General features: G+C 43.8%; 1 protein-coding gene across 25 annotated transcripts in view, besides 2 other annotated features; it reads left to right on the top strand.

Moving 5' to 3' along the window:
- Window positions 1-26,791, top strand: part of IFT122 (intraflagellar transport 122) — an 80,284-nt gene that overhangs the window by 3,900 nt on the left and 49,593 nt on the right. For 6 of the 25 annotated variants that reach the window (NM_001410808.1, NM_052989.3, XM_006713691.4 and 3 more), the window contains exons 2-9: window positions 5,748-5,814; window positions 7,791-7,875; window positions 14,476-14,554; window positions 17,105-17,181; window positions 19,437-19,503; window positions 20,512-20,658; window positions 22,767-22,943; window positions 25,219-25,294. In NM_001410808.1, the coding sequence (NP_001397737.1) occupies window positions 5,748-5,814; window positions 7,791-7,875; window positions 14,476-14,554; window positions 17,105-17,181; window positions 19,437-19,503; window positions 20,512-20,658; window positions 22,767-22,943; window positions 25,219-25,294 (775 nt within the window). Of the gene's footprint in view, window positions 1-5,747; window positions 5,815-7,789; window positions 7,876-11,990; window positions 12,142-14,475; window positions 14,555-16,730; window positions 16,884-17,104; window positions 17,182-19,436; window positions 19,504-20,511; window positions 20,659-22,766; window positions 22,944-25,218; window positions 25,295-26,791 lie in introns of those variants that run through there. The other 19 variants (NM_001410810.1, NM_018262.4, NM_001410811.1 and 16 more) reach the window with 9 other exon arrangements.
- Window positions 4,223-4,517: an enhancer, noted in NCBI's record as "tiled region #8693; HepG2 Activating non-DNase unmatched - State 23:Low, and K562 Activating DNase unmatched - State 1:Tss". NCBI's record gives its function as "activates a minimal TATA promoter and a strong SV40 promoter by Sharpr-MPRA in HepG2 cells, with weak activation in K562 cells {active_cell/tissue: HepG2 | K562}" and the evidence as "EXISTENCE:reporter gene assay evidence [ECO:0000049][PMID:27701403]".
- Window positions 5,263-5,979: an enhancer, noted in NCBI's record as "H3K27ac hESC enhancer chr3:129168229-129168945 (GRCh37/hg19 assembly coordinates)". NCBI's record gives its function as "activates a minimal SCP1, AML or CMV promoter by ChIP-STARR-seq in naive H9 embryonic stem cells {active_cell/tissue: H9 hESC(naive)}" and the evidence as "EXISTENCE:reporter gene assay evidence [ECO:0000049][PMID:30033119]".

The following is a 26,791-nucleotide window of genomic DNA, read 5'->3' on the forward strand; positions in this document are numbered from 1 at the left end:
ACCTCTCTATCCTTGTTTTGTAGGTGAGAATGAAAGCTCAGATAGGAGATCAGCTTTTCTGGCCCCACGTCCCCCCTACTTTTTATTCCGCCATGCTGCTTCTCAAAATGTGAAATGTGCCAAGGCTCAGAGGAAGAAAGCGTAAGAAACAAGGAAGGCCCAGGTCTGTTACCACATAATGGTGAGGAAGCTGAAAAACTCAGGGCTTCAGTTTGCCCAGCTGGAAAGAGTGTGATAATCATCCTTGTTCCAGCTTCTTTATCAGCCAGCTCTGTGACTAGGAGCAAACAACTTGCCTCTCTGTACTTTAGTTTCCTCATTGGTAAAATCGGGGCAGTGGTGCCTGTCCTGTCTACTACATTATGTTTTCGTAAGGATCAAATAAGATAATGTAAGTTTACACTCTTTTTTTTTTTTGAGACAGAGTCTCGCTCTGTTGCCAGGCTGGAGTGCAGTGGCGCAATCTCGGCTCACTGCAAGCTCCGCCTCCCAGGTTCAAGCCATTCTCCTGCCTCAGCCTCCCGAGTAGGTGGGACTACAGGTGTGCACCACCACGCCCAGCTAATTTCTGTATTTTTAGTAGAGATACAGTTTCACCATGTTGGCCAGGATGGTCTCCATCTCTTGACCTCGTGATCTGCCTGCCTCGGCCTCCCAAAATGCTAAGATTATAGGCGTGAGCCACCATGTCTGGCCAAGTTTACACTCTTTAACAATTCTTAAATATTGAATAACTGTGAAGAGTTTTTATTAAAGGAAGCGTCAGGTCAACAGAGCCATATTAAAAGCTTTCTGAATTCTTCATGTAATGCCTTAAGTAGGTAATAATACCTTTTTTTGACATATGCCAACAATGATAATGGCAGCCACATAGCATAATGGTTAAAACATGGGCTTCAGGCCAGATTGCCTGGGTTTGAGGCCGGATGCAGTGGCTCACACTTAAAATCCCAGCACTTTGGGAGGCTGAGGCAGATGGATCACTTGAGGTCAGGAGTTCGAGACCAGCCTGGCCAACATGGTAAAACCCTGTCTTTACCAAAAATACAAAAATGACCTGGGTGTGGTGGCAGGCACCTGTCATCCCAGCTACTCAGGAGGCTAAGGCAGGAGAATCGATTGAAACTGGGAGGCAGAGGTTGCTGTGAGCCAAGATCCTGCTACTGCACTCCAGCCTGGGTGACAGAGCAAGACTCCACCTCAAAAAAAACAAAAACAAAAACAAAAAAACAGATTGCCTTGGTTTGAATCCTGGCTCCATTTCCATTCAGTAGCACTTTATTTTCAGGCAAGTTATTTAACTTCTCTGTACCATAGTTTTCTCATCTGTGAAACAGGTATACAGTTGTTTTGAGGTTAACATGAGTTAATACATGTAAAGCATTTAAGCTGTACCTGGCATACACAATAATAAATGTGTTCAATAAATGTTAGTCACTGTTATTAAAGTATGAAGGATAACAGATTTGACATACTTGGCAGTAATTCAAGGGAGCAGAAGGCAGCATAGCGCGTTAATTACAAGCACAGACTCTAGAGTCAGACCTGAGTTGAAATCCTGGCCCTTGCACTTGCTAGTTGTGTGACATCAGGCAAACTACTTGACCTCTCTGAGCCATGGTATCCTCATCTACAAAACAGAGTAATAATTCCTACCTCACAGAATTATTGTGGAGATGAAATAAAATAATGCATTTTAAGAGCTCAGCAGGTGCTGTCTGGAATAAGAGTTCGAAGTACTGTCATTGAGAGTGTACTTCCAAGTTACTGACAAAAGCTTGATTTTTAGATTACTGGTATAAACCAAAAATAAAATTCAGAGGCCCCCCAACCATCTGAATGGATTTCCTTCTCAACCAGGGCTCTTTTAAAATTTAACCTGAGAGACTGTTTCAGGCCATGATGGGAAATGGGGGTCAAACATGCCTCAGTATACCTCTCTGGCATTAACATCAACACAGACTTTAAGTATGATAAGAAACATTTTACAAACTCTCCTCTCTAAAGCCTAGTACCTCAAGGCTTCCTCTGCAAACAGTAACTTGGGTTGCCACAATCCTTTATCTTAACCCAGGCATTCCTTTCTGTTGAACCTAGGTTTTTTGTTTTTTTTTTTTCTGAGACAGAGTCTCACTCTGTCGCCCAGGCTGGAGTGTAGTGGCGCGATCTCAGCTCACTGCAAGCTCCACCTTCCGGGTTCACGCCATTCTCCTGCCTCATCCTCCCGTGTAGCTGGGACTATAGGTGCCCGCCATCATGCTTGGCTAATTTTTTGTAGAGACGGGGTTTCACCGTGTTAGCCAGGATGGTCTCAGTCTCCTGACCTCATGATCCACCCACCTCGGCCTCCCAAAGTGCTGGGATTACAGGCATGAGCCACCGCGCCCGGCCGACCCTAGGTCCTTAGATAAGCTCAACCAATTGTCAGAAAAATTTTAAATCAACCTATAAGCTAGAAGCCCCCTGCTTCAAGTTGTTCCATCTTTCTGGACCAAACCAATGCATTTCTTAAATGTATTTGATTGAAGTCTCATGTTTCACTAAAATGTGTCAAACCGAGCTGCACCCTGACCACCTTGGGCACATGTTCTCAGGACCACCTGAGGGCTGTGTCATGGGCTGTGGTCACTCATATTTGGCTCAGAATAAATCTCTTCAGATATTTTACAGAGTTTGATTTTTTGTTGACACTGGCAAGTTTATCCCATGCTAAACTTTTACTATGGGTTGGGTTTTGTTTTTTTGTTGTTGTTGTTTGTTTTTTGTGTGTTTTGTTTTGAGTAACTTCAGTAGTAACCTTAACAATAGTCTGTTTTGACAGGTTTTTGACACATTCTTACTATAGTCACCTGAACCAATGAAATCCTCTGCCTGGGGCATTTGAAAAATCTTTGTAATATGGCTCTAGCCCATTTTTCTAGCCTCATTTCTCCATGTTCTAGCAACATCTTGCACATAGCCAGATGTTTCAGTCAAATTAAATTATTTTGATTACTTGTGTTGGCAAGAAGAGTCAAACTGCAAAATATTTTAAGAGATTTATTCTGAGCCTAATATGAGTGACCACAGCCAGTGACACAGCCCTCAGGAGGTCCACAGAACATGTGCCCACGGTGGTTGGGGTGCAGTTTGGGGAGGCATGAGACATCAATCAGATACATTTAAGAAATACATTGGTTTGATCCAGAAAGGCAGGACAACTCAAAGTGAGGGCTTCCAGGCTATAGGTAAATTTAAACATTTTCTGGCTGACAATTGGCTGAGTTTGTTTAAAGACCTGGGATCAACAGAAAGGAATGTCTGGGTTAAGATAAAGGATTGTGGAGACCCATGTTCTTATTTGCAGAGGAAGCCTTCGGGTACTAGGCTTCAGAAAGAATAGGTTGTAAAATGTTTCTTCTCACCCTGCAAAACAGAGTCTTGCTGTCACCCAGGCTGGAGTGCAGTGGTGCAATCTCGGCTCACTGCAACCTCTGTCTCCCGGGTTCAAGCAATTCTCCTGCCTCAGCCTCCCTAGTAGCTGGGATTACAGGCGCCCGCCACCACACCTGGCTAATTTTTGTATTTTTAGTTGAGACAGGGTTTCACCATGTTGGTCAGGCTGGCCTCAAACTCCTGACCTCGTGATCCGCCCGCCTCGGCCTCCCAAAACGCTGGGATTACAGGCATGAGCACCGCACCCAGCCTAAAATGTTTATCATACTTAAAGTCTGTGTTGATATTAATGCCGGAGAGGTACAATGAGGCATGTCAGAGGCCCACTTCCCGTCATGGCCTGAAACAGTCTCTCAGGTTAAATTTTAAAAGAGCCCTGGTTGAGGAGGAAGTCCATTCAGACGGTTGGGGGGGCTTACAATTTTATTTTTGTTTTACACTTGTTATTTCTCACTTTCATGTCTTTGCTTGTTTTATTTTCTTTGCCTGAAATGTCCTTTACCCAGTGTCCTCCTCCATGTTTCAAAAGCCCTACCTTTTTCAAATATCTTCTTCATTAATCTTTTTCTGATCCTCTCCTTGAATTAAAATGCTGTTGAAGCGGCGTCATTGTCTGGGGTAAATATCCGAGATTTGTTGTCTCAACAGCAATGGAAAACTAGGATACGGACACACCAGAGTGAGGTTACGAGTAGAAGTTTAACAGGCGAAAGAAAGAGAAGAGCTCACTGCAGCTGACAGCGTTCTCGAAAAAATGAGTTGCCACCTCTGTGGTGAAATGCAGGTTTTATAGATAAGCTTGAGGAGGTGGTGTCTGATTTACATAGGGCACAAAAGATTGATTGGATTGGTGTTTCATTTGCATAACTTTCGAAAAACTGGTTAGGGCTAGGTGTGTCATTTGCATTGGGTGCGAAAAGCTGGCCACCCCCACCCTAATCTTTTATTATGCAGTTGGGTTATTTACGTGGCCAGCGCCATGTTGCCCGTTTCTTTACTGTACACGTGGTGACAAATTAAAGGGAGGACAGAACCTCCATGTTGAACATACTTGGCCCCCAGGTAGCCTTTTTCTATTGGCACAGCTGCCGGCATTCACCAGTGCAAGCTTCCAGCTTGCCTTTTTATTTATTTATTTATTTTTTTTTTTTGAGACGGAGTCTTCCTCCGTCGCCCAGACTGGAGTGCAGTGGCATGATCTTGGCTCACTGCAACCTCTGCCTCCCAGGTTCTAGTGATTCTCCTGCCTCAGCCTCTCGAGTAGCTGGGATTACAGGCGCTCACCACCCACCACCATGCCCAGCTAATTTTTGTATTTTTGGTAGAGACAAGGTTTCACTATGTTGGCCAGGCTGGTCTCGAACTCCTGACCTCAAGTCTTCCTCCTGCCTTGGCCTCCCAGAGTGCTGGGATTACAGGCATGAGCCGCTGCGCCAGGCCTCAGCTTGCCTATCTATGTTTGCAGCTCGATTTTTCAGGCTGCTCTTTGTTAGAAAAAAATAATTTCTTGGGCTGCTTTTTATTAAAAGGGAAGTTCTGCCGAAGACTCTTTTACCTTCACTATCTGGCTAAATAATTTCTTTCTAGCTCCTGTATCACTGCGTCTTCCTCCTTCGAATCCTGTTTTCATGTGTCTCTTAAAGCCTTTATCAGAGTACTGTTCTGTATTTCATCCAATCTAATAGGTCATTGATTATAAAATACCATTGTTTTGTGTATCAATAAGAAAGCAAAAAATGCTGCCAGTTACACTGAAACATCATCAATTATAAGACACAACCTTAGAGGTGAGAAAATGTGAAAAAAAAATGTAAGCTTTAGAATTGATGACATATGGTAGTTCTTTGTGAAAGTGTCTGTTTCACACCTTCTCACTGGATAGTAATTTCCCTGAGGGGAGGGAGGGATTATGATCTGTTCATATCTGTTGGTGCCTGGCACCTAAGAGGGACTCAGTAAGTATCTGTGGATTTACTGGCCCTTAACACATTCTCTCATGTTGTCTAGCCTTTATGATATTATTAGAAGAGTTAATACCCTCAACAGTTGACCCTTTGAATAATTTCTTGTGTCTGGCTTCTGGACAAGAGGAAATCAGGACAAAGAGCTAACTACTGAGTGGATCATGATTGAATGGGCTGCTGTGGTGTGGCGGTTGAATGGAATTTGCAACAAATGCAATTCGTAGTTATTCTTTTTCTCCTCAGTACACACACAGTGTTTCTTAATGGCAATAAAGTTTACTTTCCTGGCCATTAGCAGACTTCATCATTTTGGTTCCTAATTGTCTTTTTCCCTTGTCTTCTGTTCAGTATAAATGACATCGCATTTAAGCCTGATGGAACTCAACTGATTTTGGCTGCCGGAAGCAGATTACTGGTAGGATTTTGTCTTAGTTTCCTCTTAAAGTGCTTCCCTAACCTCCCTCTTGTGAGTACTCTGAAATTTGACCCTTTTTTTTTTTTTTTGAGATTAAAAAGGCAAGGGTGGAAAAACCTTCCCTATTACTTTTTAATAGGGATGGAAATGGGCTATTTAAAACGGGCAAGTAAACTATCAGATAAGAACCTGTGAACAATACCACCTTTGGGGTCATTCATCTTTCCCTTTTTACTTTGAGACACCCATGAAAGAGTTGAAAACAATCACAATGCCTTTGAAACTGGACTGGTGTCAGTTTACATTTTGTCCCCCAGAAAAATTCAAGCAACAGGACTGACGGTGCTGTGTCCATGAAAAGTCAGATAGCCTGACCCCAACTTTTAGGCATTGGCCTATCTAAACAGTTCCATATGGATGTTGTCCTATTTTTCATATTTTCAAATAACATAAGCTCCCTCTGGAACCTATCCAGGTATATAAAAGTAATTTTCAGAGAACCCCTTATGTTTGACCAAAAAACCTTTGTATGATCTCTCTTTCTGTCTAAGTCTACTTCCTCTTCTCTGTTGTCTCTAGATACGCAGACTGATTAATCTCCATTCTTTGTATGGTTAACTACATAATCTTAAAACATGGTTAAATTGTTCTGCAGACTTCTCTCCAGTGTAAACAATCCAAACTCTATTAGTTTTTCTACATAGGTTATCTTTTCCAATACTCTAACCATTTCAGAAAGTTTCCGCTTGATTTCTCAGATGGTGTGTGTGTGTGTGTTTTTTTTTTTTTTTTTTTTTTTTGGAGACAGAGTCTGGCTCTGTCGCCCAGGCTGGAGTGCAGTGACGCGATCTCGGCTTACTGCAAGCTCCACCTCCCGGGTTCACACCATTCTCCTGCCTCAGCCTCCTGAGTAGCTGGGACTACAGGCGCCTGCCGCTACGCTCAGCTAATTTTTTGTATTTTTAGTAGAGACGGGGTTTCTCCGTGTTAGCCAGGATGGTCTCGATCTCCTGACCTCGTAATCCACCCACCTCGGCCTCCCAAAGTGCTGGGATTACAGAGGTGAGCCACCGCGCCCGGCCAGATGGTGTGTTTTTAAACTCTCCACATAGTGATAGATGTCACATGGCTATCAAATACCTAAATCCATATTACAGCTGGGTTTTATTTTATTTCTTAGAGACAGGGTTGTGCTCTGTTGCCCAAGCTGGTGTGCAGTAGTGCAGTCATAGATCACTGCAGCCTCAAACTCCTGGGCTTAAGGGATCTTCCCACCTCAGCCTCCCGAGTAGCTAGGACTGTGGACACACACCACCTCGTCCACCTAATTTTTATTTTTTTTTATTTTTATTTATTTTTATTTTTTGTAGAGATGGGGTTTCACTTAGTTGCCCAAGCTGGTCTTGAACTCCTGGTTTCAAGCAATCCTCCCACTTCAGCCTCCCAGAGTGTTGGGATGACAGGAGTGAGCTACCATGCCTGGCCTACAGTTGGGTTTTATAACATTCCCTCCTACTTGAAAGCCCAGAGTTCTGTGACTTTCAAATTCTTGGTAGCAAATATGAAACATCTATTATGTTGATTTAGTGCAGAGCTGGCATTAAAATTTAATCATGTTGTAGCTGGCTCTTTTTATGGGCTAGTTTTATTTAGGAGGGCCTGCCTTGATCAATCATATATCCAAATTCAGGTAAGGATGAGTATAAAGAATTTCCATGGAGTGAGTAATTGAACCTTTGGTTCTCAAGGATTGGTAGTATATTCCTGGTCACATAGTACATAGACCTGGGTCCTCTACTTCTTGGTTACCCAACTTTAAGTCACGTTGTTTTTGGTTTTGCAGTGCAGTTTTTATTGGCTACAGATTTAGAATATTGACACGTATTGTTATAAAAACAAAAATAGCAGTAGCAACCCTGCAGGAATTCTGACTAATAGATATCACATAGATAATCTGTATTTGTCTCTTTTGCCAGGTTTATGACACCTCTGATGGCACCTTACTTCAGCCCCTCAAGGGACACAAAGACACTGTGTACTGTGTGGCATATGCGAAGGATGGTAAAAGGCTGCTCTGGGTTTCCATTCTCTATAATAGCCTCATCATTGTTCATTTTTCTCTTTAGTCACTTTTTAATTATTTCTAGTAAGCTGGAGTACAAGTTGCAAGTTCAGAAGACAGTGAAGTTGCTAAGACTTCAGTTTGGTCATTCAATCTAGCAAGTATTTATTGAGGTCATCTATGTTCCAGGCACTGTTCAAGGTGCTTGAGTTACTTCAGAGAAAAAAACGGTGGTCCCTCCCCTTATGGGGCTTCTGTTTTATGGGGTGGTGGTGAGAAGTGAGGGAGGAAGAAAGTATGAGGGAAGACATACAGTAAACATAGTAAAAAGGTAAATTAAGTAGTATGCTGGAAGGTGATAACTGTTATGGAAGAAGAAAAAGTAGAGCAGAATGAGGGGGATTGAGAGTGCTGGGCAGGGCAGGGGGTTGGGTACAGTATTGAATTAGACTAGTGAGGGTGGGCTCATTGAGATGAGGACAGGTGAGGAAAAAGACTTTGAAGTCAGGAGGCAATGAGATTGTGCCAGTGGGCATCGGGGGGAAGAGAGCTCTTTGCAGAGGAAGAGCCATTGCAGAGGCCCTCAGGTGTGGGTGTGGCTGCTAGGAGCTGGATCAAAGAGAATCGGGAATTGTAGAGGATGAGGATAAAGTGGTAACAGACATGGGGTGGTCAGATCATAAAGATTTTGATTCTCAGTCAAAATGGAACTACTGAAAGGTCCTCAGCAGAGGAGGGATCTGATTTGATTTGTATTTTAAAAGGATCCCTCTAGTTGCTGAGTTGGAAACAACCTGCAAGAGGTGAGGGTTAGGACATCTGTGTGAGGAAGCATCATCCAGACAGGGGGTGATGGTGGCTCAGACCTCTGTGGGGGCAGAGGAGGTGATGAGAAATTATCAGACTCTGGATATAATGGGAGGGTGGAGCCAACTGGATTGTCTGACAGATTGGATATGGGCTATGAAGAAAAAGGAGTCAAGTTTTTGACCTGAGGACTGAAAGGTTGGAGTTGCCCCCCCCACTGAGATGGAAAAGACTGCAGGTAGAGAAAAGTTATGGTTGAAGATCAGAAATTCAGTTTTATACATGCTGAATTTGAGAAAAGTTGATGATGTCGGAGAGGGGAGAGAACTGCTGGAACAGAGTTGTTGAGTAGGCAAGAGGAGATGGGATCTAGGGCATAGACGGGGTATTTGCTTTAGATAGGGGCACAGTAGGAACTGCAGAGGCCAGCAGATGGGGACAATGTGGTAGTAGGAATCTAATGGAAATTCTCAATTCCATTTTTTTTTTCTTCAGTGAAATAGGAAGCAACAGCAACTGAGAGTGGCAATGGGGAAGGGAGGTTTCAGAGAGTTGAAGAGAAAGGGAAAAAGTGTAAAGTCACTGCCTCAGAGAATGGGACAGCGAGTGGACCCAGGAGGTGTAGTGAGATCCCCGGTGACATGAAGGGCCCTCTTGAAGATTGTGATCATGAATTGAAAGTGAGATTAGTTGGTGTGATTGTGTCTTTTTCTCCAGCGATTTTGAGCTGCATAGTTGTAGAGGCAGAAGAGGTGAATTTAACCAGAGGTGGTTTTGCAAGCACATTTGAAGATGAAGTAGGAGGGCAAGGGAGCAGAAAGTGTATACAGATAAATAATTATGTACATTAACCTTGAATTGTTGGCTGAATAATGAAGGGAGAGAGGACAGCAATGGAGAAGTAGTAGGTTCTGGTGGTGTTGAAGGATTGTTACAGTTGGGGTACCAGGTGGGTTGGGAAGGAAGGGAAGTGGTGCATGAAACTGAGATTTAAATTTATTTTAAAATAAATCCATGTTGTCCCACAGCATAGGATTAGTGGGAAGAAATGGGCTTTGGAATGAGACAGTTGTGAGTTCCAACCCCAACCCAACACCAGAGTTCTGTGAGTCTGAGCTGGTTATTGAGTCTGAGTCACGATTTCTTCATGTATCAAATGGATAACATTGAGATAACATTCTGTAGCCACTGCCAAGAAGTCACAAAATTGTAATGTTATAATTCTTGAATGAACCTTGGAGATTATTCCAGTCCCAGGTTTTTAACTTCTTTTGGCTGATGGGCCTCTTTGATAATCAGATGGAAGCTTTAGACCACTTTCTAGAAAGATGCAAATTCTTCATGTGTATGCAGAATTTCATGCATATAATTTTAGTCTGATTAGTCCAGTCTCTTCACTTTAGTCCTGCATAAAGACATAAACAATTGGCCAGGCACGGTGGCTCATGCCTATAATCCTACTGAAATCCTAAAGCTCTGGGAGCCTGAGTTGGGAAGATTGCTTAAGGCAGGAGTTTGAGACCAGCCTGGGCAACATAGTGAGACTCCCTAAAATCTGGCCTGGGTGACAGAGCTAGACTCTGTCTCTTAAAAAAAAAAAAAAAAGACAAGTCATGTGACTTGCCAAGGCCATGCAGCAGATTGGCCCAAAGACAAAACTAATTTCTTGCTTCATAGTCAGGTGTGCTGTACCATGGTAGTCATATTTGTGTGTGTGTGTGTGTGTGTGTGTGTGTGTGTGTGTGTGTGTGCATGTTTGAGTTCAAGTTCAGAATAATGTTTTAGGGAGACCTGTGAGGAGGGAGCCTGGAGAGCTGAACTGTTTCTGTCTCATCCTAGTGGCTGTTGAGGAATGTGGGTCAGTCCAGGGCCCAGTATAAGGCCCAGTAGGTACAGAAGAGCTATTGGGCCTCTGGTGCCTCTGGTGTTTATAAGCATAGCAGGGCTCTTTGACCTGCAACACCATTAGGGCACTTGAGGATGTCAGAGTGTGACCCATCAGTAGTGGCATTTGCACAGCACTTTGCAGAGTCCTGTCACACACATCTCACTTGATGCTTCCAACAACTCTCTGAAGCAGGCAGCAAGGGGACTCTTATCTCCGCTCAAAGATGAGAAAACAGACTTGGAGCAATTACAGGTGATGGTGGCAGAGGCAGGCCTAACCCAGGTTCTCTGACTGCAGAGTCTTTGTTCTTTCTAGTGTATCATGCTGCCTCTTCATGACACCTGTATAATGATTAAGAAGTCTTTTAGTCCTCAGAATTGGTTTTTTCCTCTTAGACCTGAAGATTGAGATACACTGAATTCCAGCTTTGCTCTTTAAGTCTGCTTGTTTCTGATTTCTCCTTTAAGTTCATTAAGTTTTTTTTGTTTTTTTTTTTGAGATGAAGTCTCGCTCTGTCGCCCAGGCTGGAGTGCAGTGGCGCGATCTCGGCTCATGGCAACCTCTGACTCCCTGGTTCAAGTGATTCTCCTGCCTCAGCCTCCTGAGTAGCTGGGACTACAGGCACGCGCCACCATGCCTAGCTAATTTTTGTATTTTCAGTAGAGACAGGGTTTCACCATGTTGGTCGGCCTGATCTCAAACTCCTGACCTCGTGATCCGCCCACCTCGGCCTCCCAAAGTGCTGGGATTACAGGCGTGAACCACCATGCCTGGCCCAAGTTTAATAAGTATTTAATGAGCAACCATGATATAAAAGTATGTAAGACATAGTTTTTTTGTTCAAGAAAAACAATATAATATGAAGAAATAATAGAAATAGCTAATTTTTTTTTAATTCTATTCCAGGCCCAGTTCTAAGCAACATAAGGGTTAGGGGTGCCACTGCCTGTGCAATAAAAAATCTGCATGTAATTTCTGAACCCCCCAAAACTTTACTATTAATAGCCTACTGTTGACCAGAAGCCTTACCTGTTACATAAACAGTTAACACATTTTTAATATTATATGTATTATATATTGTATTCTTAAAATAAGCTAGATAAAATGTTAATTGAGAAAAAAGAAAAATATATTTACTCTTCATTAAATGGAAGTGGATCATCATAAAGGTCTTCATCTTCATTGTCTTCAGGTTGAATAGGCTGAGGAGGAGGAGGAGGAGGAGGAGGAGGAAGAGGGATTGGTGATGCTGTGCCAGGGAGACAGAGGCAAAAGAAAATTCACATGTAAAAGTGGACTCATGTAGTTAAAACTCATGTTGTTCAGGGGTCAACTGTATGTACACATGTACATACACTCATTTAATCTTCACACCAACCATGAGGTAAATACTAACATTGTATCCATTTTTCAAATAAGGAAATGAAAGCTCTTCAGTAGCTTGTTTGGGTCATGCAGCTGGTCAGTGAGATCTCTAGGAATTCTGACCCAGAGACTCTGAGCCCAAAGCTTATGCTTTTCATCACCATCACCTGCTACCTACCAGGATGAGGGAGGAGTGATGGAAATAGTAAGAGCAGTTTCTTTGTTTATTTAGTATTTGCAGCAATATCATATGGCTCACCCTAATATCTACTATTTCAGCTACTGTAAAAGGTACTTGGCCGGGTGTGGTGGCTCATGCTTGTGATCTCAGCACTTTGGGAAGCCAAGGCGGGTGGATCATGAGGTCAGGAGTTTGAGACAAGCCTGGCCAACACAGTGAAACCTCGTCTGTACTAAATATATAAAAATTAGCTGGGCATGGTGGTGTGTGCCTGTAATCCCAACTACTTGGGAGGCTGAGGCAGGAGAATTGCTTGAACCTGGGAGGCGGAGATTGCAGTGAGCTGAGATTATGCCACTGCTCTCTGGCCTGGGTGACAGAGCTAGACTCCGTCTCAAAAAGGGCCAGTCGTGGTGACTCATGCCTGTAATCACAGCACTTTGGAAGGCGGATCACCTGAGGTCAGGAGTTTGAGACCAGCCTGCCCAACATGGAGAAACCCCATCTCTACTAAAAATACAAAAAATTAGCCAGGTGTGGTGGTGGGCACCTGTAGTCCCAGCTACTCGGGAGGCTGAGGCAGGATAATCGCTTGAACCCGGGAGTCGGAGGTTGCGGTGAGCCGAGATCGTGCCACTGCACTATAGCCTGGGCAACAGAGTGAGACTTAGTCTCAAAAAAAAGGTACTTTACAGATACTATCTTAGTTGACTCCCATAAAAAGACTCTGAGGAAGATACTGTTCCTCTGTGTTTCAGATGAAGGCATTGAGGCTCAGAGAACAGTGACTTGCCCAAGGTCACCTTCCACTTGCCCTGTGAATAAAGTCTAAAAGTCCTTAAGATGTACAGAATGTGGCACATACTTACCTCTTAATCCTCGTCTCTCACCAGAGTAGGTGAAGACCCCGTTATTTGCTGCCATGGTACCGTGATCCTCTTCCAAATGCTTATAAATGTGGAACAGTGTAATTAATAACAAATTACTTGTTATATGTTGCCTCTCTCCAGTCTGTTCCTTCATAAAGCCCAAGTAGTATGAAAATGCGAATCTGATCTATCACTCTTTGCTTAAAACCTTTCTTTGGCTTCCCATTGCTTTAGGATAAAGAGCAAGGCCTCTGCTGTGTCCCTGAGGTCCCAAGAGATCCTTCCACAACCCACCTCACCCTTCCCTCCGTTCCATGATGACTCCGCTCATTCCCTCAGACATGCCAGGCTTTTCCTGCTTCAGGGCCTTTGCACATCTGTTCCATCCATGTGGATGGGTCTGTCTCCTCTCTACATCTGGCTAAGCTCTGCTCATCCTTTAGGTCTCCACTGAAGGATCTCATCCTTAGAGAAATGTTCCCTCATCTAAATTAGGTCCCCCAGGAGATGTTGACCAAAGGGTAGTTTCAGTCAGACAAAAGGAGTACATTTTTGAGATCTATTGCACAGCATGGTGACCATAGTTAATAATAGCGTATATTTCAAAACTGGCACAGGAATAGTTTTTTTTTTTTTTTTTTTTTGAGATGGAGTCTCGCTCTGTTGCCCAGGCTGGAGTGCAGTGGCGTGATCTCGGCTCACTGCAAGCCCCACCTCCTGGGTTCACTCCATTTTCCCACCTCAGCCTCCAGAGTAGCTGGGACTACAGGCGCCCGTCACCAGGCCGGCTAATTTTGTTTTTGTATTTTTAGTAGAGACGGGGTTTCACCGTGTTGGCCAGGATGGTCTCGATCTCCTGACCTCGTGATCCACCCGCCTCAGCCCTCCAAAGTGCTGGGATTACAGGTGTGAGCCACTGTTCCCGGCCAGGAATAGATTTTAAATGTTCTCACTATAAAAAAATAAGTATCTGCAGTGATGGATATGTTAATTAGCTTAATCATTCTTCAATGTGTATGTATATAAAATACCACATTGTACTTCATAAGTAGATATAATTATTATTTGTCAAAAATAAAAATTTAAGTAAAAAAGTAAATCAGGTTCCCCAGTTATTCTCTTTCATAGGATCCGTGTCTTACCATGTTGTATTTGTGTTAGATTAATTTGATGTGTACTTCTTACACTAGACTGAACTTTATGAAAGTAGGGATCATGTGTGTTTTAATCATTACTTAATCCCTAGCATAGAACATGACAGCTACATGTAGTAGGCTCCCAATACATCTTTGTTTACTCAGTGTCAGACAAAGCAGGTTTGGAACCCAAATATTCTGACTCCAAGGTCCTGCCTCCCAGTACTGATAAGAACTAGGAAAGAAGCTAACACTTACTAGGTACCTTAAAGAACTAGTTTTCTAAAGAATTCTCTCTGGGAAATGCTGGTTTAAGATAAATGTAAGACTTTCCATTTTACAAACACTTTTAGGCAAGCGCTTTGCTTCTGGATCAGCTGACAAAAGCGTTATTATCTGGACATCAAAACTGGAAGGCATTCTGAAGTACACGTAAGTAACTTAGGTGTACAGTATTATGAGTTTGATGCTTATTGAATAATTGCAGCAAAAGCCTCTTAGAAAAGATGTAGGAGAAAACTTTTTTCTCTTAAATTGAACTTGAAATTAAGTTGTGGGTGTGTGTGGTTGGTATAGGAAGGTTGAGTAGTGAATAAGTTAATGAATATTTCTTGGCCACTTACTGGCGTGGCCAGCACTGGGCTAGGTGCTTTTATGTAGCTCATCTCAGTTCATCTGACATTGTAGACTTTATCCCACCCCCAACCTGTCATCTTCCAGTGTCCCTGTCTCAGAGAATGGCCTTATATCCACCCAGTGTCAAATGTCAGAAACTTGGGGTCAGTGTGCTCCAGGCCTCCTCTTACTATTGGGGATCTGCCGTGTTCTTCCCCTGTTCCTCTACTAGTTGGTCCCTATTTACCCTGCAGATCTCAGACTCAAATGTCAGTTTCTTTGTAAGGACTTTCCTGCCTCTCTAGACTGGAACAGGTCTCTTTCGAGGCATTTCTCACAATTGCAGTTTTAGGTTTATTCTGGTGACTGATCAGTATTGCTCATCGGCCTGTAAGTTCCATAAGAACAGATACTGCATCTATTTTTTGTTTTGTTTTGTTTTGTTTTGAGACAGAGTCTTGCTCTGTTGCCCAGGCTGGAGTGCAGTGGCACGATCTCGGCTCACCGCAAGCTCCACCTCCCAGGTTCACGCCATTCTCCTGCCTCAGCCTCCCGAGTAGCTGGGACTATAGGCGCTCACCACCATGCCAGGCTAATTTTTTGTATTTTTAGTAGAGATGGGGTTTCACCATGTTAGCTAGGATGGTCTCGATCTCCTGACTACATCTATTTTTTTTTTCTCACTCTTGTGTCCCTGATACAATGCCTAGCCCATAATTGGTACTCACCAATTTTCCTTCCTTCCTTCTTTCCTTCCTTCCTTCCTTCCTTCCTTCCCTCCCTCCCTCCCTTCTTCCTTCCTTCCTTCCCTCCCTCCCTCCCTTCTTCCTTCCTTCCTTCCTTCCTTCCTTCCTTCCTTCCTTCCTTCCCTCCCTCCCTCCCTTCTTCCTTCCTTCCTTCCTTCCTTCCTTCCTTTCTTTTCAGTCTTGCTCTGTCTCCCAGGCTACAGTGCAGTGGTAACTAGCTCACTGCAACTACAACCTTCCAGGCTCAAATAATCCTCTTACTTCAGCTTCCCAAATAGCTGGAACTGCAGGTGCACACCCCCACACCAGGCCAATTTTTAAATTTTTTTTTTTCTTGGTAGAGACAGGGTTTCACTTTGTTGCCTGTACTGGTCTTGAACTCCTGGGCTCAAGCAGTCCTCTCAAAGTACTGGGATTACAGATACGAGCCACTGCACCTGGCCTCTTTTCAATTGTGGTAAAATATACATGACATAAAATTTATCATATTAACTACTTTTTAAGTTTACAGTTTAATGTTAAATACATTTACATTGTTGTGCAACCAATCTCCCAAACTCTTTTATCCTGCTAAACTAAAATTCTATATCCTTCAAATACCTACTCACCCTTCTCTCCTACCCCCAGCCCCTGAAAACCAGCATTCTACTTTCTGTCTCTCTGAGTTTGACTGCTTTACATACCTCATATAAGTAGAGTCATACAATGTTTGTTCTTTTGTGGCTGAGTTATTTCATTTCACGTAATGTCCTCAAGGCTCATCTGTGTTGTAGCATGTGTCAGAATTTACTTTCTGTGTTGTAGCATGTGTCAGAATTTACTTCCTTTTTTTTCTTTATTATTATTTTTTTTTATGAAGACGAGGTCTCACTATGACTCCTGAGCTCAAGCAATCCTTCTCCCTTGGCCGCCCAAACTGCTGGGATTACAGGTGTGAGCCACTGGGCTCAGCTTCCTTCCTTTTTAAGTCTGAATATTATTCCATTGTATATATAGACCACATTTTCTTTATCCATTCATCTGTTGATGGACACTTGTGTTGCTTCTGCTTCTTAGCTATTATGAATAATGCTGCTATGAACATGGGTGTACAAATCAACAAACAATTTTTGAAGGAATGAATGAATGAGTGAAGTTGTAAGTAAAGTATTACCCACAAGTGAAGGACTAAAACGGGTTGAGACGCCTTGCATGGTACATGATTTGCTCAGCTTTCATTGTTGTCTAAGGATTTGTCATGTTTCCAGATCTTGGTCTGTGATGTCTTCATTGCACCTCCATCTTCCATTTCTGGGCCTCCACAAAACAGTAAGAGTAACAGCCACAGATAAAGCACCTAAAGGCCAAGGTGGGAGGATTGATTGCTTGAGGCCAAGCGTTCAAAACCAACCTGGCCAAAAGTGAGTCCCCATCTCTACAAATAAGAAAACAGTGGGTGAGGAGAAGGAGAATTAATTCTTTAGGAGTAGGAGAATTAATTTCTGTGCTTTTTGTTGGTCACTTGCAGAAGAGCATGTGGTCTAAAGTCAGAGGCTGTGGGCTCATTATTAAAATCTTCAGTTGTAGCCACTGAAATCTTTGTGGTTTGCTGCATAGTAATCTACAGTTGTTTACTTCCCAGGCACAATGATGCTATACAATGTGTCTCCTACAATCCTATTACTCATCAACTGGCATCTTGTTCCTCCAGTGACTTTGGTACGTTCTGATTCCTGATGTCCTGTCCTGGAATAACTGAAAATCTGGGCTAAAAATGCTAAAATGCATTCAGAATATGGTGATTTTATCCTGAGAGAGTTAATACTACTTCTCTACCTTCAATGGCTGAGGGGAGGCTGACAGTTATTCTTTAAATTGTGTGGAAACCAAGACAGTGAATGGTGACCTTTACTCTGGTAAGACATCAGAGACTACAGGAAGGGCCCCAGCAAAGGAAATGGTAACAAGATTGGGAGGGCACAGGCATAACTTGGTGTTGCTGCCTTTGGGAAGCCTTCCCTTGGTGTTGCTGCCTCTGGGAAGCCTTCCCTGACTCACCCTGGCAGAGACAGTGCAGTTGTCCTCACCTTTGTATTGACCCACATCTATGTTTATGTGAAATTCTTCACTGTTGCGGTTCTACTTCTTGTGCAATTTGTCGTCATTACTGGTTTAGGTGGCTGTAGCTGTCCTCCCTGAGGGGCTGAACACCTTGAGGAGTTCATCCTGGCCACGGTCCCGTGCCAGCATTACAGCACTGGTGTAGTACTGGCACAAAAGAGGTGTCAGTAAAATGTCTGTGGAGGGAGGAAGGGAGTGAAATTGGGCAGAGGCTTGTAGGTTATTTCCATTAATGGTTGATTCTGTTTTCAGCTCTATCAGTCTGTGTTCGTTGCTAGTGGATACAATGAAGTCACTAGATGAGGAGTCAGAGGCCTAATCCCTCTCAGTGTTCCAGTTCCCTTATCTAAAAGGAGCATGCTACTCACTGTGTCTCACTGATACGGTTCTGGTTCTGAGGTTCAAAAGAGAGAATGGAATTGAAAGCCAATTGTATAAATACATGGAGAAAGGCCTGTCATTTGTTTAACATATTTTATAGCATTTTCTTCATGTGAAGCACTGGTCTGTGTGCTTACACTGGAATATTAAAAAGGCAAAATAGAATCCCTACCCTCAAGGAGCTTGTGGTCTTAGGAGAAGGTGGGATTAAAAAAAATATAATATTAAGTACTAGTATTTATTGAATGCTTGCAGTGTGCTAGGCACTGTTCTAAGGATTAGAAATGAATTTCTATTTGAGCTTTATGACAGCCCCTGAGGTGTCAGGTATTATTCTCATTCCCACCCTACTGATGAAAAAGAGGTAGAGGTCCCTTAGCTAGTAAGTGGAGGAACCAGGGCTTGGACTTTAGACCAGGTGATTGCATACAGAGCCTGCTCTGCTAAGCACTGCTGAAGGAGGCCCAGGAGGAAGGAGTTTCTTCCAGCTTGGGGCTCCAGGCAGGCTTAGTGGAACACAGATAACATGTGCACACGTCAAAATGTTTGGAGGAAGCGTTCTGGACCAGGGGAAAGGCAAAAAATAACTTGTTTGATGTTGCACTTGGCCATGTATTTGTGCACTGGAGTTACCTTCTTGATTGTACTTCGCAACTTGGCAAATAGAAGAATTTGCTTATGTTGTCTAGACATACACTTGCTATGAGGCACTGAGCCAGGGCATCTGGGACAGGGGGGAGCAAGCCTTAGGTGACCAGTGTGCCATGGGAGAGGCACAGCTCAGATAGAGTCATGTGTTGTGATTGAGACCTATGAAAGAAAACTAGATTTTCAGAAAGCATCATTGTTATTTTAAATGCTAGGTTATACTCTGGTTGCAGTGTCAAAGTTATAAACAATGAAACTGTCATTTCTTTGAGAGTCAAATCCCTGAAAAGTTGGCTAGAACTTTACCAATCTATTTTATTTTTCTTCTGAAAGAATGATAGATTCATAGTAAGTTACAAAGATGGTACCAAGAAGTCTATGTACTTTTCATCCAGTTTCCCCCAGTGGATCCATCTTATGTAACTATTATACAATATCAAGACCAGGAAACTGAGACTGGCACAAAGTGTGTATATTATATAGTTCTGTTGTTTTATCGCATGTGTAGATTGCCATCAGCGTGACACAGAACTAAGCCATCACCATGCAGTTACCACTTAGTGTCATATCTACTCACCTTACCTCCAGTTATCTCCAAACCCTGGTAACCACAAATCTGTTCTCCATTTCTATAATTTTGTCATTCAAGAATGTTATATAAATGGAATCGTACAGTATATGACCTTTTGAGATTATGTTTTTTCATTCAGCATAAAATCCTGGAGATCCATCTAAGTTGTTGTATGTTTCAATTATTTGTTCCTTTTTATTGCTGGGTAGTATTCCAACCAATCCATCTTCTTTTATATTATTGTGCATTGAAGGGTTGTGGTCTCCTGAACAGAAGTCTGTCTCCAAACACAAATCAAGCAGCAAGATCATCTGCTGCAGGTAAGTGCAGCTCTGACGATAAGATTTATGTTCCTTCATCTTCCACACAGACTCTCAAAATCCAATTATTTCATGCAGCAGAGAAGGTCTTGTGTTAGGTAGTTGGTTTAGGCCCCTGTATTTCCTTTTTTCTTCTTTCTTCGTCTCCTCGATGGGAAAGACTTGTGCCTTTGATCATGAAGCAAAAGAGAACTACAAGTTGCCTTCATGCAGTTACTTAGCAACAAGCCTCAACATCCAGCTATACTGAGTGGAGGCTTGTTGAAAATGTGAGGCTGTCATTGTCCAGGCAGCATGTGTGGGGAAGAAAGCTTTCCCTCCCACACTTTGATGCTAGACCTGAATTAGAATCCAGAATCTCTCATTGACAGGCCATGTGACCTCAGGAAAGTTACTAAATCTTTCTGAGCTGGAGCTTTACGTTCCTCATCTGACAGATAGGGATAAAAATACTGACTTGACGAGATTGTTGTGAAATGCACACAAACTCATGAGTGTAAAGCGTGCAGGACAGTACCTGGTGTACAGTAGACACTCTAAATGGTAGCTATTCTTGCTGTTCAGCTTCTAGGAGTATATCCCTTCCGTTCAGCATCTGTTGAGCACCTTCTACAAAGCAAGCACTGTTCTAGGGGTTGGAAGACACCAAGTCTGTTCTTAAGGTGCTCTTTAAGTGGGAGGGGATTGAGATGGAGAGTGGGAAGTGGTGGCTGGCCCAGAGATGTAGGCACAAGCTAAGGGCTGTCATAGAGGTATGTACAGAGGGCTGGGGGAGCTCAGAAAAAGGCACCAAATGGTGCCTTCACTTCTCACTGTTTATTACAGAACTAAATAGCATTTTAAGTTTGATCCTCTGACTTTATGTCAGGACCGGCAATAATGAAACCATATCCCAGCTGTTGCTGCCTCATCAGACTTTTATTTCAAACCAAGGCATCATCCTCACTAGTTTTACCTTCTGTGGGGTGCTTCCCCTATCCCCATGCCTTTTGTTGGTTGTGTACACAGCTGGACAAATGATGGTCAGTACCTGGCGCTGGGGATGTTCAATGGGATCATCAGCATACGGAACAAAAATGGCGAGGAGAAAGTAAAGATCGAGCGGCCGGGGGGCTCCCTCTCGCCAATATGGTCCATCTGCTGGAACCCTTCAAGGTACTCTTAAAGTTGTCCTCCTTCTAGAACAAACACCATCATGAAGAAGGGCTTTTTGTCTTCCTGAGGTCTCCCTACATTCAAAGGCTTCTCACCTCACTTGAATGGTCTGTTTTAGAACCTGTCCCATTTGTATGGATTTTTTTTTTAATAGTCCCGCTACCTGAGAATGTATGGAATTTATTAAGAGCCTCCTCAAAAGTTGAGTTTAGGAATGAATCCTGGACATTTTAGCAAAGCAGATGAGCTATTTAGGACAGGCCAAAGTGTGTGTGTGGCGTGTGTGTCTGCGCACATGTGCATGCACACATGTGTACGTGTACATGTATATGAGTGTGTGTGTGTGTGTGTGTGTGTGTGTGTGTGTGTGTGTGTGTGTGGTGTGTGAGTGATGCAGCAGGACCATTTCCTTATGAATCAATAGTGGAGCTCTTTGCTGTGGCTTTATTTTTGCCTTTCCTTTTTTAGTTCTTCCCTCCAAGTTTGGGCAGAATATGTGCCCACCTGTTAATAAATAGCTTTTTCATGAGCCTTTTTTTGCCCTTGTCAGAAAGTCAAAATTAAGTCTACAGACGTCCCTAAAGCCTAGAGATACACAAACAATTGGCACCTACCTTCTTAAATTTTATACACACTTTGCTTTCTATGTCCATGTGACTTTGAGAGTAAACTAATTATATGCTCTTTTTTTTTTTTTTTTTTTTTTTGAGATGGAGTCTCGCTCGGTTGCCCAGCCTGGAGTGCAGTGGCACAATCTCGGCTCACTGCAACCTCCACCTCTCGGGTTCACGCAGTTCTCCTGTCTCAGCCTCCTGAGTAGCTGGGATTACAGGTGCCTGCCACCACGCCTGGCTAATTTTTTTTTTTTTTTTGAGACGGAGTCTCGCTCTGTCGCCCAGGCCGGACTGCGGACTGCAGTGGCGCAATCTCGGCTCACTGCAAGCTCCGCTTCCCGGGTTCACGCCATTCTCCTGCCTCAGCCTCCCGAGTAGCTGGGACTACAGGCGCCCGCCACCGCGCCCGGCTAATTTTTTGTATTTTTAGTAGAGACGGGGTTTCACCTTGTTAGCCAGGATGGTCTCGATCTCCTGACCTCATGATCCACCCGCCTCGGCCTCCCAAAGTGCTGGGATTACAGGCGTGAGCCACCGCGCACGCCTGGCTAATTTTTTGTTGCCACCACACCTGGCTAATTTTTTGTATTTTTAGTAGAGACAGGGTTTCACCATGTTGGCCAGGCTGGTCTTGAACTTCTGACCTCAGGTTATCCACCCACCTCAGCCTCCCAAAGTGCTGAGATTACAGGTGTGAGCCACTGTGCCTGACCCTATATGCTCTTTATATATCCTATAATATTATTAAACCATCAGTATCCTTTACAGAGTCCTCTGAGGGTAAACGAAAGGTCCTACTTGTTTACCAGCTCAATGTCATTTTACAGATGGTTGCCTACTTGATTTAGAAGGTTGTTTGGAAGGTTATTATGCTTCTTCCTGAATAATTTTTTTTGGCCCATGCTGTACCATGCATGTCTAATGCTGTCAAAGGCCATTAGCCTGCCCCAGAGTTCCTGCTGTTTGATTTGTGGCTGCAGAGGACTTGGTGGCTCTAGGCTACCATTTTTAATTCATGAGAAGCAGGAGGCCCTGTATACCTGGTGGCTGTCCTCCTCCAGGTAGGGTTCAGAGGCTCCTTTTATTTTTTATTTTTATTCTTTTTTTTTTTTTTTTTTTTTTTTGAGACGGGGTCTCACTCTGTCACCCAGGCTGCAGTGCAGTAGTGCGATCTTGGCTCACTGCAACCTCCGCCTCCCAGGTTCAAGCAATCCTCTCACCTCAGCCTCCCAAGTAGCTTGGATCACAGGCACATGCCACTACACCTGTCTAATTTTTTGTATTTTTGGTAGAGACAGGGTTTCACCATGTTGGCCAGGCTGGTCTTGAACTCCTGATCTCGAGCGATTCACTTGCCTCGGCCTCCTGAAGTGCTGGGATTACAGGCGTGAGTCACTGCACCTGGCCCCCAGGGGCTCCTTGCCAGGATTTTAAATTATAGTTTTAGTGTAGTTCTAGGCAATGTAATTTTGAACAACTACTTACTGTCTACAGCCGATGGGAGAGTTTCTGGATGAACAGAGAGAATGAGGATGCCGAGGATGTCATTGTCAACAGATATATTCAGGAAATCCCTTCCACTCTGAAGTCAGCAGTGTACAGTAGTCAGGGTAGTGAGGCAGAGGAGGAAGAACCAGAGGAAGAGGACGACAGTCCCAGGGACGACAACTTGTGAGTGTGTCCCAGTGAGTGGGAACCCTTCTGGTAAGGGCCCAGGCCCCACACAGACTTGCCAGGACAGATGTTAAACTCTTTGGCCAAGGGAGTGCAGGGACTAGGGGGAACTGTGGGTGAAAGCGCCTTCAAAAAAAGGAGACATACCCTTAAAACTTGTGTGTGGGTATAAAGTGATCCTGTGAGAAACTATAGGAAATACTGAAAAGACTAAAGGAGAAAGTTCAACTTTTCTGATAAAACCCCATCCCCTGAGGAAATCACTGTTAGCAATCTAGTGTATTTCTCCTCAGTCTTTTCGTGTGTTCATATAATTAACTAAGTCATATTCTGCTTTTTTTTTCACTTAACATTATAGTGTGAACCCTTTCCAGTAACATTACAAATCCTTCGAAGAACATGATTTTTAATGTCTGAAAAGTGTGCCCTTTTGTGGATGCCCCATCACTCGACACTTCCTCTATTACTGGACACGTTTCTTAGCCTGTTCCCACACTATCCCTTACCTTACCTTGCATTTTCTAGGATGTATATCAGAGAGGAAGCCCTTACCTTAGCCACAGTCTTCACTCCCAAATCCTGGCTGTCTAGTCATTCTTCTCTTCAGTTGAGATTGCCTGTAGGGAAAACATGGGCAGGCCAGAGTGGGGAAAGCTGGGGTAGCCAGGATATCTCAGTTTGGCAGTAGAGATCTAGCTTGAGACTTTCCAAACTGTTTTACATAGTACCTGAGTTTCCTTGGAAGAATCCCACCCTGAGGTCATGGGGGCTGGGAAGTGGGGACCAGTAAAGGAGGAAGGTATGGCTTTGGGTCCCCATCTCAGTGCCTTTGATTGTTTCAACATGAGTTTTTGTTTCATAAAGAATCCTACTGCCCCAGGAGGTAAAAGGGGGTTGAAAATCACTGATCCATCTCACAGGGACTGAGCCCAGCCCAGAGCCATATGTGGCCTCCCCAAGAGGGCTCACTGGTGGGCTGGGCTCCTGGATTGTGTTTGGACTTTGGACATCAGTGCCAGTCACACAAAGGTCATCTGCAGGCTCCCTCATTAACATCCCTCTCGGTCTTTGTCTCTTTTCCCTTAGTTTTGGGTTAGTGCCTATGACATTTGCCACTCTTGGCTGGGTTTTACAAACAAGGCTTTACCTTGCCTGCCTACATATCCAGTGGTGCTACCAGGTTACCACAAGACACTGGGATCAGAAAAGCTGGAATTAATAAACAAAGAGGCAACATTAGGTGGATTAAGACCCAGCCTCAAGGGCTAGGAATGCTTTTCTTTTTTTTTTTTGTGACAGAGTCTGGCTCTGTCACCTGGGCTGGAGTGCAGTGGCACGATCTCGGCTCACTGCAACTTCCGCCTCCCGGGTTCTAAGCGATTCTTGTGCCTCAGCCTCTGGAATAGCTGGGATTACAGACACGCGACACCACGCCGAACTAATTTTGCATTTTCAGTAAAGATAGGGTTTCCCCATGTTGGCCAGGCTGGTCTAGAACTCCTGACCTCAGGTGATCCACCTGCCTCAACCTCCCAAAGTGCTGGAATTACAAGCGTGAGCCATCACGGGCTGCCGCTTTTCTCTTGAACTAGATTCCCAGGTAGCTTGCTCTCCAGCCTCAGGCAAGGGAGTTTCTCCTGTGTGCTGGTCCTACAGTCCCAGCCCCACAGCACTGATCCCCATAGGTTCTCAGTTTCAAAGACAGTTGTTTGTTTTCAGAGCCCATTGCTCTTTTTTGAAAATTAGATTCAGTCAGAAACCATTTCACCTGTGCAAGGACCCCCGCCTGCAGGAGAACCTATTTTTAGGTGTTAATTTTCTTTCTTCAGGAAGAGCAAGCAAGTTTCCCTTCTATTAAAAAATGTCTTTGTGCTGCAAGAGATGTTTCTCTGCCATCTCCCCACATTTTCTAGTATGTAAGAGAAAAGCAGTCTCAATATTGCAGCCTTGCCTATCTTAGTGTTGCTCCCCAGTAAGCTCTGAAATGAGAGGTTTATCTTCTTCAGCTGCAGCAGTGTCCCCAGCACCATAAGGTCATAGCAGGGGACTCAGTGAAACAGCAGATCCCAGGAAGGCTGAACCTCAACTCTGCTTCATCCCGTAAGACTGATTGATGGGTTGGGCCAAATTATAACTTTTGGCTTCAGTAAAGCTGTACAACATTTGGCAACCTGAGGCCAGGACTTCCTTGTTCCTGTTGTTTAAGCCCTTAGAGCTATACTCATCAGCAGGCTGTGGCCCTTCATAACCTCTTTTATCTTCTGTTGATTAGAGAGGAACGTAATGACATCCTGGCTGTGGCTGACTGGGGACAGAAAGTTTCCTTCTACCAGCTGAGTGGAAAACAGGTATGTAGCCCTGTACAAATCCAATTGCAGTCATGCCTGTTATATTTTCATTTTCTGAGATTCTGTTACTATTAATTATACATTATCATTGTTAGTTCCTGCTTATTGAGCATTTGCTGTGGTACCAGATACTGTGCTCACTGCTTTGCATACTTTATCCTATTTTATTCTTATAAAACCCAATGAAGTGGGTACTACTTTCCTTATCAACTTTTTAGAAATGAGTAAACCAGAACTCAGAGCAGTGAAATTATATGCCCAAGATCTCACACAGCTAGTAAATGGTGGAGCCTAGGAGTTAAACCCAGGTTGGTTTGACTTTAAAATCTAGCTCTTAATTTTGACCTTACTTTCCTCTATTCGCTTTCTTTCATTCAACCAGTATTTATGAGTACCCACTCAGGAAAGCCCTTTCATAAAGGAGCTGCTGACATAGAGCTGGGAAAGTGATAGCCTCTACCTGCAAGAGCTCACAGGCTGGCGGAGACACACTTGATAGCAAAGAGCCCCTGTGTGGTGTGGTATGTGACACAATAGAAAGCTGTACAGATAGACAGCTTTTTGGGACACAAAAGAGGGTAACATCACTACTTGGTAGAGATGGGAGGTCTTGTTAGAGGTTATCTTTGAGCAGGCCATCTTTGAGTTAGGCTAAGGACATTGGGAATGGTGTTTCAGGCAGAAAAAAAAATAGCATGTATCAAGGCAGGAAGGAATGAAAATATATGACAGTTCAGAGAATGGTGAGTTGTACAGGGTGACTGCATCTCAGAGTTTGTGACCTGAAAACAGAGCTGAAGAGGAACATGGGGGTATGATTTTTTATTTATTTATTTATTTATTTATTTATTTTTAATTTTTTTCGAGATGGAGTCTCACTCTGTGGCCCAGGCTGGAGTGCAGTGGCTCAGTCTTGGCTCACTGCAAGCTCCGCCTCCTGGGTTCACGCCATTCTCCTACCTCAGCCTCCTGAGTAGCTGGGACTACAGGCGCCCACCACCACGCCTGGCTAATATTTTTTGTATTTTTAGTAGAGACGGGGTTTCACTGTGTTAGCCAGGATGGTCTCAATCTCCTGACCTCGTGATCCGCCCGCCTCAGCCTCCCAAAGTGCTGGGATTACAGGCATGAGCCACCACGCCCGGCCTATGATTTTTTGTTTGTTTGTTTTGAGACAGAGTCTCACTCTGTCGCCTAGGCTGGAGTGTAATGGCTCAATCTCGGTTCACTGCGACCTCTGCCTCACGGGTTCAAGAGATTCTCCTGCCTCAGCCTCCTGGGTAGCTGGGATTACAGGCATGTGCCACCATGTCCGGCTAATTTTGTATTTTTAGTAGAGACGGGGTTTCTCCATGTTGGTCAGGCTGGTCTCAAGCTCCTGACCTCAGGTGATCCACCTGCCTCAGTCTCCCAAAGTGCTGGGATTACAGGCATGAGCTGCCACCACGCCTGGCTGGAGATGTGATTATAAAGGACCTGAGTAGTGTGAATAAGAAG

The sequence above is a fragment of the Homo sapiens genome, chromosome 3, assembly GCF_000001405.40.
Source record: "Homo sapiens chromosome 3, GRCh38.p14 Primary Assembly".
Lineage (NCBI taxonomy): Eukaryota > Metazoa > Chordata > Mammalia > Primates > Hominidae > Homo > Homo sapiens.